This window comes from Homo sapiens, chromosome X (assembly GCF_000001405.40).
Source record: "Homo sapiens chromosome X, GRCh38.p14 Primary Assembly".
Lineage (NCBI taxonomy): Eukaryota > Metazoa > Chordata > Mammalia > Primates > Hominidae > Homo > Homo sapiens.
In genome coordinates this window covers 112,774,197-112,788,616 of record NC_000023.11, presented here as the reverse complement: position 1 = coordinate 112,788,616, position 14,420 = coordinate 112,774,197, and the positions used below count along the sequence as shown (strand labels likewise).

Genomic DNA, 14,420 nt, shown 5'->3' with positions numbered 1-14,420 from the left:
CCTTCAGACCTTCCTATTTCTAGGATTATATTACTTTTCCAGTGATAGTGCCTCTTACGTTCTACCATGGAGGTTGGTTTTCTTTTCCTCTTTCCTTTCAAATGAGATTCTATATTTGAGAGGTAACATTTAGAAAACTTTATTTTAAAACCTGTGGGCTCTTCTGCCTTTCTTTCCAACATTTCTTTTTATTCCTTTTGTCTACTTGTTTTCCTCTTCTTTCTCTCAATCTTAAATGTAGCTATTGACCAAGGTTCTGCTCTTTGCCCCTTTCCATGGTAAAAGTTTTATATTTTCTTTTCTTTCAAAATAATTTTTTTTTTTTTTTGAGAAGGAGTCTCGCTCTGTTGCCCAGGCTGGAGTGCAGTGGTGCTATCTCGGCTCACTGCAGCCTCCGCCTCCCGGGTTCATGCCATTCTCCTACTTCAGCCTCCCAAGCAGCTGGGACTATAGGCGTGTGCCACCACGCCTGGCTAATTTTTTGTATTTTTAGTAGAGACAGGGTTTCATTGTGTTAGCCAGGATGGTCTTGATCTCCTGACCTTGTGATCCACCTGTCTCGGCCTCCCAAAATGCTGGGATTACAGGTGTGAGCCACCACGCCCGCCCTCAAAATAATTTTCAAGTGTCTAGGATATTGGCTACAATTGGAAAGTGCTCAAGTGTATTTGAGGAAGGAAGGAAAGTAGAAAAGAAAGAAGAAAAATGGAAGGAAGGAGAAAGGAAGATGTGAAAGCAAGAAGGAAACAATTTCTAAATGTATAAATTATATCCCTAAATCTGGTGCCACATTTCAATGATCTGCTTGGTTTCTGTGTATTCTACCAGGATCTCAAACTTAATATATTCCAAACCTAATAGCTCATTTGGTAAATGACAGATTTCACAATTAGGATATCTTGCTTGGATGGTATCAATGGTAGTTGGGTAAGACAATTTTTTTCAATTATGATATTGGTTACATATTAAAAAATCACCTGTTGTAAGCGTACGGTTTGATGAATGTTGGTAATTGTATACAATAGTGTAACCACCACCACAATTAACACAGAGGACCTGTTCTAAAGTGTTCTTGTGCCCTTGAATTTGATCGCTTCCTCCCATGCCTGACCCCAGGCAATGACTAATCTGTTATTTTGTCATAAAATTATAATTTTCTTTTCCAGAATGTCATATAAAAGGAATCATATTGCATTTACTCTTCTTGTTTGACATATTGCACTCAACACAATGATTTTGAAACCCATTCAAGTTGATGCTGAGTAGTGTTCCATGGTGTGGATGTATCACAGTTTATGTATGCATATTTGGATATATGCATATTGGGGTCGTTTCCAGTTTTTGGCCATTGTGAATAATAAAATATAGATTATAATATAAGAACAGGCAAGTGTCTTTTCTCAGGTGATAAGTCGTATTAGGTGGTCTATTTATACCCCTTCCAACACTTTGATATTATGATACACCTCTTGTCAAAGGGAAAGCTGTTGATGTTAACGATTTCAGACAAGATCAGAGCGTGAAAACCTAGGTTTTTAGCCTTAAAGAGTCCAGGAGGAGGCATTTTGATGCATATGGAAAGTGCTGGCATTGCCCTTTATCCTGAGATGCATCTTAAACATCAGATACAGCAACTCTGTGAGATTGGTCAGCTGTATGTTTAGGTGAATTTTCCTTGATGAAAGGTTAAGAGGGCCAAGAGATAAAGAGAAAGAGAGAGAAAATTGAAGATATTTTGGCATATCTAAAATGAGTATTTGATACTTAAAATATTTGTTTTGTTCAAAGTGATAACAGGAAATTTATTTCTTTCATTTTATTTAGATAATTTGCCCAAGATCACACACAGCTACTAAATGGCAGAAGAACTAGGATTTAAATCTGTATTTTTGTCTCCTTAGCTGCTATAATTCTGCTGCTTCTTAGAAATGGTGTAGCTCAAAGATGGTAAAATAGGAATTATTAGCTGTTCAGTAAGATACTAATTGAGGCTAATTATTTAGTTACCTGGAAATATTATAAATAATCACAATAATATGGCCTGAATTAAGGCTCCATATTATTTTGTCCCTAGGGAGTCCTCTCTAGATGCTTAATATAGATGAGGGGAAATTACTACTGAGTAGGATTCCTTGTTCATTCGCAGAAGAACCAATTTGGCAATGCAGATTTTTAGTTTCAGCTCATAAACAATGAATTTATTTCTGAAGAGCAGCAAAAGGATGACAAGATAACCCACCCAGTCAACTATGTAATTTTTATCAGCTTGCATTTACTGAATTAGGTTGCTACCTTTCTCAGAATGTGTAATGTTTCATGTTTATTTTGAGCAAAAGTAAATTCTGGAAAGGAGGAAGTAAAGAAAAGGGAAGCAGAAGGTAGAAGCTGTTCACACACATAATGCATGTCTACCTATTCCCTCTTTGTAGGCATTTCTCAATTTCCTTCCTCTGCTTTCTTCTCATCCTACCTTCTGTCTTAGTTATATTGTTCTCTGCTCTAGCTTCTCAGTAATAATAGCAATGATAATAACCGTAATAGTAACTCTGATATCTCTAAAATTAAAGTTAGAACTTTGAACAACTTGTTAGATACTGGCATATGGCAATTCTTAAGTCACTTTCACTCCAGTGTACCTAAAATCAAAACCCATTGCAGTGCTTTCCAAAAGAGCCTTTCCTCAGTTTCCTTTTACAGCAAACAGTATTTCATCTTTCCTAGGCATTTGAGTTCGAAAGAACAAAGTTGTTATTCATTCTTCCATCTCCCTAACTCCCACATTGATATTGTCTCCAAATTCTATCAGTTCTACTTCCTATAGCCTATTTCCATTTCCGTTGCCACTTCGCTGGTGCATAGTTTCATGATCTGTTGCTGGGATTATTACAATCACCTTGCTGACTGGTCTGCCTGATTCCAGTGTTTCACTTCTCTTATCTTTCTGTCACATTTCTACGAGAGATAAGGCCGTCTTCCTAAGGCATGGCTTAGATCATTTTATTCCCTTGGAAAGCTCTAATAATTTTCAGCGCCTATTGGAATAAAGTCCAAACTCACTGCTGTACTAGTTAATTATTGACTTTTTTCTCTTCCCTTGTAAGTTTCCTACAGTTAAGGACTAGTCTTATCCATGCCTTTCCCCTCTCCAGCCTCCCAGGAACTTCAAACACAGTGCTCCACTTACGTAGAGTTCACATATTAAATAAACAAAACGATGATGCTGATAGGAAAAGATAGGCTTGAAGTTTGAAAGGCCACTAGGTGTTTTAGGAGTTTATTGGTGACATGCTAGAAAGCAGTTTGAGCAATGTGATGGGATAACTTCGTCAAAAAAAAGAAGGAGAAAGAAGATGACAAACTGTTTACTTAAGAATTTGAGATGGAGGTTGTCAACATCAGGAATATGCAGTTTGGGGTTTGCAGGTTTTATTTTCAGATCGTAGCCCAGCATCTCTCTCTCCTGATGTTCTTAAAGAACGTCTTGGAGTATTGGAAGGTAGCAGGTCAAGTTGCTCGTTCAAATACTGTGCTTGCTTGCTTTTGCCTAAGCCATTGGCCTGGTAGCCCTAGTCTTCTAGAAGGAAGATTGATGCTGAGGGCTGCCCTGGCAGCCCTGTCGGAATTCACTAAGTGCCCCACATTTTCAGGCTCCATTCCTGAGGAGTTAACAGTGTCCATATCAATTAGCTGGCAGGGCTCTGAGTCCCCAAAATGGTCTTTTATGCAATGAAAGTGGCAGCAGGCCAGCACTAGTTCCCCCAGTGACAAACCGTATGCTCAGTTCCCCAGTGTCCGTAGACACCATGCACTTTTCAACAGTCCTGGCTCTAAGGCCCCAACCTTCACATTGGAATTCTGCAGTACAGGAATTGCTTCCAGGATTTTACCAAGAGCTGGAATTCTTTCAAGTCAGAATCTCTTGTAATCTCTGTATGTTAGTCTCCTTCCATCTTTCCACCTATGTGATTCATTCTCTCTCGCTCTCGCTCTCCTCCACCTCTCTCTTTCCCTCCTTCTCTTTTTCTTTGAGAGACAGGGGTCTTGCTGTGTCACCCAAGATGGAATGCAGTGACACAGTCGTAACTGACTGCAGCCTTGAACTCTTGGCCTTAAGCAATCCCTTTGCCTCAGCCTCCTGAGTTATGTGGTTCTCTCTTAATAATAGCTTTGTTGAGTGTTTTGACCATGCCTGACACTGTTTTTACATGCATAATTTTATCCTCTATGAGATGAAGTTACAAATATTGTTCCCACTTGGCATATGAAGCGGCATGCTTAGAGCAGGTAATTTGACTTTCAGAGGTCATAAAGCTTGTTAGGGGCAGAGTGTACTTGGAGAAGCTGGGACCTGCTGAGTTGTCTGTATTCAGAGCCTGTGCTCTCAAGCACTATGCAAATGCTGCTTCTTCTTGGGTACCCAGTAGGACTACAAGCCAGTGAATTGCACTAGAGAAAGTATAGAATGCTGAGATGGTAAAATATTTTGAGTTTGGCAAATGATGAAAGCCATTGTATTCTTTCCCCTTCTTGTTCTCCAATTATTTCATCATTCCATAAATGGTTTCAACCTTGCATATAAGGTACACGTATATTTTGGGGAACAGTAATTTTATAGAGGCTCACCAAAATCCCCAATCTTAATAGCAACTTTCTGCCTCTTTTTCTTGCCGCTTCATCCCCATCTGCACTAGACATAATCTTGAAGCTAAGAGAACATAGTTAGCTCCCAACAGAAAACATGCCTGGAGTTCTCTTGCAGATCCCCATTCTCTTAGGAAGTATAATGAAGCAGTGCCAGTTCATTGTTTTCTCGGTCTATTGTCTGATTTCCTTGAAGACCAATATAATTGCATCAGTATTCTCCCTAATCCTAATAACCTCCCTCACCCGCCCACCACACACACACACACACACACACACACACATGTTTTTCCTTATTAATTGGTCTTTGAGTTAATGGCCTGAGACACTTTCAAATGGAACATGATGGTCCTTTATGCAGTTAGAACTCTGGCAAGAGAACAGTCACTTTGTTGGGGTAGACCCATTGATTTGGTGCTAGAATGTTTCAGATGTAGATTAGATAGGAATCGAGTGGGACTGACTCAAAGGCACTATTTATTAGCTCACATGCCCTACCTAATCTTAGCTGATGTGTCTGTTGTTTGCTTCTAGTACTCAGGTGTATTTACCAATGTTCATCTGTAGCCATAAGTTACTTAGTATACCCTCTGACTTTCTTGAAAGTCTGACCTTTCCCCCTCTATGACTTCTAGGAGAATAAAATGGAAATATATACATATTCCTTTTTTTTTTTTTTTTGAGACAGAGTCTCCCTCTGTTGCCTAGGCTGGAGTGTAGTGGCTCGATCTCACCTCACAACAACCTTCACCTCCCGGGTTCAAGTGATTCTCCTGCCTCAACCTCCCAGATAGCGGGGATTACAGGCGTGCACCACCATGCCTGGCTAATTTTTGTATTTTTAGTAGAGACAGGGTTTCTCCATGTTGGCCAGGCTGGTCTCAAACTCCTGACCTCAGATGATCCACCTGCCTCAGCCTTCCAAAGCGTTAGGATTACAGGCATGAGCCACCATGCCTGGCCCAATATATACATATTCCTGTTGCTTGGCCATGATCTAAAAACTTGAAGGGGCTATCTGCCAGAAGGTTTTGGGATGATATCTGTTCAGTTCTGAAGGCAAGTCTGTGCATATCTCATCCCTCACTGACTTTTGCAGCCACTTCTATACTAATAACGTTGCCTTCTACCCTGAACGCTGAACTGTCCTATTTTGGAGGCTCTTACGGGTTAGTTCCCCAGAAACCATCTGTTCCAAATGTGCTTGATTTCAGCTTAGGACTTTCCAGAAAAGCCTTCCTTGACTTAGAAGAAAGATAACATTCATTGATCTTGCTATGCTCCCATCTCATCACTTCCATTTTCCTCCCCAGGGACACAACAGTCATCAGTCACTCTCCTAACACCAGCTATGACACAGCTCTAGAAGCTCGCATCCAGAAAGAGGAGGAAGAAATCTTGATGGCCAATAAGCGTTGCCTTGACATGGAGGGCAGGTAAAATGTTGTTCTGGACCCTGAGGAATCTGAGACATTGATATAGAGACCACATAGGATCTTTATTCACAGCTAGGAAATCTGATCATGCAGCCTCCCCGCTCCACCATCACCCCTGCCAGCCTGTCACTTAAAGGTGTGAGATGCAATGACCTTTACCTTGATAATCTCCACTAAACATGGAATTCCAGGTAGGGTTTCTGTCCCTTTGGCCTTCCTAATTGCTTTTCCTCTTCCCTCTGCCTGAGCTGAATTGTTGGCATTTGCACTCTGGAGTATTCTTTCTAGCACTGCACCACAACCCTGTGATACAGCAGATTGCTTAATAAAAGAGTAAAAGAACATCTGCTCGGCCGGGCACAATGGCTCACACCTGTAATCCCAGCACTTTGGAAGGCCAAGGCGGGCGGATCACCTGAGGTCAGGAGTTCAAGACCAGCCTGGCCAATATGGTGAAACCCTGTCTCTACTAAAAATACAAAAATTAGCCAGGTGTGGTGGCGGGCACCTGTAGTCCCAGCTACTCAGGAGGCCGAGGCAGGAGAATTGCTTGAGCTTGGGAGGCAGAGGTTGCAATGAGTCAAGATCATGCCATTGCACTCCAGCCTGAGCGACAGAGCTAGAGTCCGTCTCAACAACAACAACAAAAAGAACATCTACTCAAAGTGGAGGTAGGATACCTGATTCCTTTTATAAACACATGATCATTTACTTACTACCTGCAGGTTGTCGCTCATTCATAGATCTCATCTTCTCACTGAGTAAATTGTTTCCATTGACTGAGATTCTTCACTACAGCACCTAGTACATCAGTTCATTCTCTCATATTCAGCCTTTTTTTTCACTGGTACTTTATTGTGACTTACTAAGATTTAAGCAACAGCTCCTGGATGCTCTGCTGTATCCATTTGGGTGTGCAGAAAAAAGAAAAAACATGTTTTAAAAACTGTAGCACACCATCCCTTGTTTTCCAACTCAGAACTAACTAGATCAGCCTTTAGTCGAAAAGATAATGGGAGCTCCACGTAGTCATGTAGTCAATTAGACCAAAATGTGGAGGTAGCAAGAAGGTTTTTTTTTTTTTTTTTTTTTTTTTGAGATGGAGTCAGTCTTGCTCTGTCACCCAGGCTGGAGTGCAGTGGCACTATCTTGGCTCACTGCAACCTCCGCCTCCCAAGTTAAAGTGATTCTCCTGCCTCGGCCTCCCGAGTAGCTGGGACTATAGGCGCCTGCCACCACACCCAGCTAATTTTTGTGTTTTTAGTAGAGACAGGGTTTCACCATGTTGGCCAGGCTGGTCTCGAACTCCTGACTTTGCAATCCGCCCACCTCGGCCTCCCAAAATGCTGGGATTACAGGCGTAAGCCACCGCGCCCAGCCCACAACAAGGTCTTTATATGTTCTTTGCCTTTGGCTCCTAGGATTAAGACCCTCCATGCCCAGATTATTGAGAAGGATGCCATGATCAAAGTACTCCAGCAGCGTTCCCGGAAGGAGCCGAGCAAGACAGAGCAGCTGTCGTGCATGCGGCCAGCGAAGTCTCTGATGTCCATTTCCAATGCTGGATCAGGCTTGCTCTCCCACTCATCCACCCTGACTGGCTCCCCCATCATGGAAGAAAAGCGAGACGACAAGAGCTGGAAGGGGAGCCTAGGTAATGACAGTAAATAAGGAAGATTATAGTCACGTGTTCAAAGAGAGCCCTGAGATAAGCACCCATGCTTAAGGAAAAGGGATGATGGTCCAGGTTCTAGAGAGGAAGGTGTACCAGGGTTTTGGAGTTTTTTTTTCCTCCTGAGACCCTAGTTCCACATTCTGGAGCTCCTCCACACTTTGAAGTCTCCCGGTGAGAATACCGATTGAGGCCAAGGCTTAGAGGACAAGAATCTTGAGTTTCATTTGGGTGTCAAGGAAGATAACTCTAATTTCCTCTAAACTATTCTCAGATTTGGCCTTTGCCATGTGGCACCTTTATCTTTCTCCAAAGCCCATGTGGCCTTTGTGTCGTTCCAAATGTCAAAATTCCGGCATTTCTGTGTTCCTTCCTCCTCTATAATAGGAGAACCCAGAGTTTTAGTTACACTAAATCGTTTGGGTAGCAGGTTTTGTTCCCACAGTGTTGTGAGATGAGAACAGAATGTACTTTTTCATTCCGTTCCTGTCCATTCCCTCCCCTCTAATCAAAACCCCAGACATATTGTGGATACCACGAGGCACATTTTTAGAGCCCGAGGAAGGAAGCTTATATATATTTTTATTTTAACCCTTTTTGTTGCTGTTAATTCCTTTCTTGGTCCTCTGATACTTGTAATATCTTTTGGTTAGAATAAGCATTTTGGGGACTATGGTCATGGTGAGAACCTCAGATCACACAATTATTACCACACTCAATCTGTGTCAACAGACTTCTTCCCCAGATCCTTTCTTGCTCCCTGGTAACGTGTGGTAATGGTTTATAAGTGGAGCCGAGTAGGAGCATTCTGACAACTTGGTGGAACCCAATCACCATTGGAAAAATAAATCAAAACAGATACCCAGGTCACTTACAGGCTTAATATGTTGTGCCAGGTGATGGATGAGGACCAGAAGGGATCCTCGAAGTCTGTAGGAAACTTTTAGCCATGGTTGGAGGAGCCTCACACACTGATTTCTGGGTTCCCTGGAGGCAAAAATAAATAACTTAGACTATTCTAAATTATTTAATATTTAAAAATAATAATATTTTAAATATTTAAATAATATTTACTTATTTAAAAATAAATAAATTTCTTCTGAAATTTGAATGGGAGAACAGGTAATTAGATGTCTGGATTTGAATCACCTATTGTTTTCTAACATCTGTTCCTCTTTCATTTGTAGGCATTCTCCTGGGTGGAGACTACCGTGCTGAATATGTCCCTTCCACACCCTCGCCTGTGCCACCCTCGACTCCCCTGCTCTCGGCTCACTCCAAGACAGGCAGCCGAGACTGCAGTACCCAAACTGAACGTGGGACGGAATCGAACAAAACTGCAGCTGTTGCTCCCATCTCTGTTCCTGCTCCAGTTGCTGCTGCCGCCACTGCTGCCGCCATCACTGCCACTGCTGCCACCATCACCACCACCATGGTAGCTGCTGCTCCAGTTGCTGTTGCTGCTGCTGCTGCTCCAGCTGCTGCTGCTGCCCCGTCTCCAGCCACTGCCGCTGCTACTGCTGCTGCTGTTTCTCCAGCTGCTGCTGGTCAGATTCCAGCTGCTGCCTCTGTTGCCTCAGCTGCTGCCGTTGCTCCTTCTGCTGCTGCTGCTGCTGCTGTTCAGGTTGCTCCAGCTGCTCCGGCTCCAGTTCCAGCTCCGGCTCTGGTTCCGGTTCCAGCTCCAGCAGCGGCTCAGGCTTCTGCTCCTGCTCAGACTCAGGCACCAACTTCAGCTCCGGCTGTGGCTCCAACTCCAGCTCCAACTCCAACTCCAGCTGTGGCTCAGGCTGAGGTTCCTGCAAGTCCAGCTACCGGTCCTGGACCACATCGTTTGTCTATACCAAGTTTGACCTGCAATCCAGACAAAACAGGTAATTATTCCCTTTAGCAGGTAGGTTTTGGTTTAGTTCTGCTCTCAAATACAGATTTATTTCTTGTTGTCTGATGTCTGGGCAGAGTTATCATTTGGACTGAGTTTTTCACGTTCTAAAGGAGAGAGAAGAGAGTCTGTAAATGACTTCTCATCCACCAAGATGGGAACAGGCATGAGTAGAGGCCATTATCTTAGCAGAAGTAAATGAGGGAGGTGGCAGGCAAGTCTCACTTTGCCATTGGCTTCATGAGGGCTCTGATGGTGTCTGGTTCTAGAAATATGGGTTTTTTCTTCATCCCTAAGTGTTTTCTAACCCTTATTTCCATTTAGATGGGCCTGTGTTCCACTCCAATACTCTGGAAAGAAAAACTCCCATTCAGATCCTGGGACAAGAGCCTGATGCAGAGATGGTGGAATATCTCATCTAAACGGCCAAATCAAGAGCTGCAGATTATCAGCAAAAATGCTTTTAATCATTTTCCCCCTTTTATTGGTTCTTGTTTTGAGGGTGAGGACAAGGGTTGTGGGGAGGGGATGTTTTTTAACAGGACTTTTTATTGGAACAATGTACTACTTGAGTAATACCATGTGAACACCAGTCTATTTTGGTATGCTTAGGGAGTACCTCTAAAGACAGATTAATCAGAATGTGCTCTAAAGCTTATTGTTTGAATTTATACGAATACTGGGACTGTTAACAGGTGGCTATACATCGACGTTTTCAATGTGCTTAAATTTGTTTAAATTTTCCATATTCTAGATCATTTTTTATTGAAGAGCACAGTATGTGTGGAAGACAGTGTATAACACGTAGTTTGGAAGTGGGAAGCTAGAGAGAATTGAGTGTGTGCTGTTTTGTATAGTTACTATCCTGTGCAGCAGCTGGAGAAAGCACTCACCTCAGGCTTACAAAAGGGAATAGTTTCAGGAGCTATGTAAGCTGGAAAAAAGGTAGGGAGTTTTGGGGTGCAGAAGGGTACTGGAGCTAATTTTTTCTTCCAGTTTCCCAGCTACCCTGCCCCAGGGAATTGTGTTTGTCTTCATTTCAGTGGTGCTTTGGAAATGGATTCTTTTGGTTCCCTCCTGGAGGTTCATACATTCATATATATGCTCTGGAGTAATTTATGCATTTGGATAATTAATATATTGCTTTCAGATGCTGGGAGAGTACATTAACTGAGTGATGCGCAACTTCCTCTCTCTTAGGGAATTAGACCATCAGAGGCCTTGATGGAGAGTTGCATGGGGTGCTATATGCAGACTTCCATGGTTTGTGTGTAGCCATGAACACAGCTTGCTTGCATTTAGTAAGACCAATCAGCTTAGTGTTTATTTCTTCTACAGCACAGATTCACTGGCTGGGTCTCCAGTCTCAAATTGCCAATCATTTGCAAAGTGAGGAAGGATCTTTGTTGACAGGTTGAATGCTTTGAATTTCTGGTGACTACTTTGAAATAACTTGTTTTGTTTGTCAAATTCTAAGCATATGTCTTAAAAGGCATTTTTGACTATCACCTCCAAGGGAATAGCTTGAGAAACCCAAAGTACTATGCTGCAGTCGGGGGAGAGGTGGATTGCAGCAGTATCCTCAACTACCTCTTCTCACTGTCAGTGACACCATCTTGGAATACCTTTGGGAAGCAGCAGGAAATGTGCATGTGGGTAGAGATCAAAGGAGGCAATGGCTCCAAGCCTTGCCATAGGGCTGCCTCCAAGGACACAGAAGGATGCCAGTTGCCACAGGTCCCTGCCCTGTGTCACCTGTCTGCCCTTCATTAAGGTGAGAAATCTGCAGATAGCATCATTAAGATCAGTTTTAAGGGGTATAGGGAGGGTGAGGGAAGTGGGGGGTGTTAGGTAAGGGTTGGGGGTAGAGGTTTTGGGATGTCTTAGTTAGAAACCAGATTAATAGAAGAGTAGGCCTGATATATTACATCATGAGCCATAGTGGTGGGAAAGAACTTTAGCAATATAGCCCTACCTCCTCATTTTAGTGATGAGGAATCTGAGAACTGGAGAGGTTCAGTGACTTTTTGAAAGTCATACAACACAGCTAACCATTATGCCAATCACCATGCTTATTTTGGGAAACTCTTTATCTTTTTTAAATTCCATTTTATGAAAAGGCATCTTCATGGTCCAGGGAATATGTATCTTGTAAAATGTACCTGGTTGGAGTAGCTTGTCCAGTCTTGACAAACTACTGAATTTCTGTCTTGCCTCTCCTTCAGTGCCTTTTAAAAGGTTTTCCCTTTTCTGATCTGCATTTCAACATAGAGTCACATAAATGTCCCCCTGAGAAACCAATCCCACTTCTTTCTAGGAGATTGGGTATCTTAGATAATCTTTTGGGGTTCCTCTGTGAGTATAGGAATGGTATCCTTCCTAATTATCTTCCAAAGGAATTATTTTGTGTGTGTGCCTGTGTGTGTGTAGAGACATAAAGGAGGGTGATGTGATTTTCAGCTAGTCCTTTCACATTTTCAATAATGAGGTAATCATGTTACATACACATTAGTCCTCAGTTATAAAGTGAATCTCAGATAGAAATTAAAAGTGCAGTTGTGTTAAGACTCTTTCATACTACCCTTTAGTCATAAGGAGAAAAAAACACTCAAATAGTAGAAGCAGCAAGTAGCAAACTTCAGGAGAGCTACTTTCTATCCAAATAATTTAAAAAACACTTTTCACCTACTCCTTTCATGGTTATAACACATTGGCAGACTTTTTGCTGGCTCTGGGAGCCATGATTTTAATCACATTCTGCAAGGTGACAAATGTCATACATTCCACATTGTGTGGTAGCCATCTCTTTAGACTCATGTGTTTTGGGGAAAGGAAGAAGTTCTTGGCTGAGTACTATTTTGAACTTTCCAGAACCCTCTCACACCAGAGACAGTTCTTCTCTGTTCAGTTTCCAATCCCCGATAATTTGCTAAAATAACATTGTACATCCAAGAGAGGGAAGAAGAGTATGTCAGTATATTATGCAGAAGATAGATACAGCCTTTTCAGAAGATCTCCACTAGTTTTTGTTCCAAAAATTCAAGTTTATGGGAGAAATCTCAATTAGCCACCTTTTCACAGTTGTGTGGATATAACATTTGGGGGATCTTTCTGGACTCCTACCTATCTGTGCATTTTACCGGCACCTCAGGAAAGGAGGGTGACCAGGTTGTCTTAGCTTGTACTGCTTGGTGATCTCTGAGGACCTTCTAATTCAGTTGTACCCCAGTGTTCCATGTATAGAAAAACTTCATTAGAACAAACTTTACTTGATATGAAACTCCTATTAACAGTCTTTTTTTGAAATAAAAAGTAGCTTGAGCTTTCTTTTAAAATCATGTATCTTGATTGTTGATTTAATGAAGGATTTCCTTTTAATGCTGCTTTTGAGCTTCAAGGTAATAGGACAGCAGGAACCTAAAATATCTGCCATCATCTGCCATAGGAAAGATACCCAGAGACCCATCATGTTCTCTTTTTGTTGTTACACTGTTGGGTGGGTATAACAATTGGAAAATGAACAAACTGATTGATTGTGCAAACTACTTTTTATGACAAGCCTAAACCCTCATAATGCGGCAGCTTAAAGTGTATACATATGCACTAACTTTGATCAATTATATTCTCATATCTGTTAGCTACACAGTCTCCTATTATCTCAATTGCTTATGTGCATATGGAATATGTTACTTAAAACGTGTGCATTCTTACTGAAAATGTTTTCAAAGGAAGGTATCAGCTGTGGGCTAATTGCCACCAATTTCAGCCTGCCACGATTCTTGGAAATATGTCTTCCAAGTGCCATCCATCATCAGTAGGACAAGTGTCGGGAGTTTGTTTATTTTTTTCCAGTAGCAACGATGGGTTACATGGAGCCATGAAACCTCCTTCTGGCCTCCCTTGTGATTAATGGCATGTGTTTGTAAAATGGATAGCTGGGGTTGGCAGATGGCTAGAGAAGAATCGCCTTTGGTTTAAAATGTATGTGGTCCCCTAATGATTGTGACCCCATTCTGTAATCAACTGAGCTAGTTCCAATAAAGTTAAGCAGGTTTAAATCCACTTTGTGCCTATCTTTTCACTGACAATAAAGTTAGCTATTTTAAAATGCAGTACCGTGTGGAAAATGCTTTGGTGTTTACCCGACAGAGGCTTTATTTGTGCTGTATCAGTGATTACTTTCAATTCAGTATGCAGTGAAATTGCCTTTCAAGGGCAGCGTGCAGCAGAATTTGCATTTGCTTGAAGTATGGAATGTGATTATAGATTATAAAGTATTAAGACAACACCACAGGCCGCATGCTCTAATCGGTCTCTTTATATACTCAGGCAGCATATATTAAAAGCTTTGCATCTTTTTATCTTCTGGTTTCTAGGGATAAAATGATGGCCACCCAAAGCAGAGAATTTATCCTTTGGTTAGCATTTTGGAAGGCCCCTTGATATTCCTTTTGTACCCTTGTTCTGATGCCAATTCATCAGTTTTGGTTGAGGGAGCTTGTTATTAAAAACAAATCAAAACCACAAACGAGTTGGCTCTTCACTGAAAATGTTAAGGCTGCCTTTACACTGCCCTTTCTGTGCCTCCTGTTTACCAATGAGTTCCAAACCTGACTGGTGAGGCAAGGATCCCCAAGGACTTTGAAATGACACGTTTTCACAGTGAAATAGACTTGATGGGTGTTGCGAAAGGGATAGGGCAGGGGTCTAGAATTCATTCAACTGTAAATTTGATTTTTCTTAAAGTTGGACTTGATTCCCTCCATATTTATGATAAGTGCTTTGAAAACCG

The 14,420-nt window shown here is 41.8% G+C and overlaps 1 protein-coding gene and 1 non-coding gene across 8 annotated transcripts in view, besides 1 other annotated feature; both read left to right on the top strand.

The window, feature by feature from the left end:
• The window catches only part of AMOT (angiomotin), a 65,955-nt gene extending 52,215 nt beyond the window's left edge, over positions 1-13,740 (top strand). For all 7 annotated transcript variants that reach the window (NM_133265.5, NM_001113490.2, NM_001386998.1 and 4 more), the window contains 4 exons: positions 5,955-6,077; positions 7,499-7,731; positions 8,937-9,620; positions 9,953-13,740. In NM_133265.5, coding sequence (NP_573572.1) covers positions 5,955-6,077; positions 7,499-7,731; positions 8,937-9,620; positions 9,953-10,050 — 1,138 coding nt within the window. In that variant the 3' untranslated portion in view covers positions 10,051-13,740. The remainder of the gene's footprint in view (positions 1-5,954; positions 6,078-7,498; positions 7,732-8,936; positions 9,621-9,952) is intronic.
• MIR4329 (microRNA 4329) lies at positions 7,829-7,899 on the top strand. The gene has a single exon (NR_036255.1). It is a non-coding gene; the product is annotated as a microRNA 4329 (primary transcript).
• Positions 8,724-9,224: an enhancer, noted in NCBI's record as "H3K4me1 hESC enhancer chrX:112022621-112023121 (GRCh37/hg19 assembly coordinates)". NCBI's record gives its function as "activates a minimal SCP1, AML or CMV promoter by ChIP-STARR-seq in primed H9 embryonic stem cells {active_cell/tissue: H9 hESC(primed)}" and the evidence as "EXISTENCE:reporter gene assay evidence [ECO:0000049][PMID:30033119]".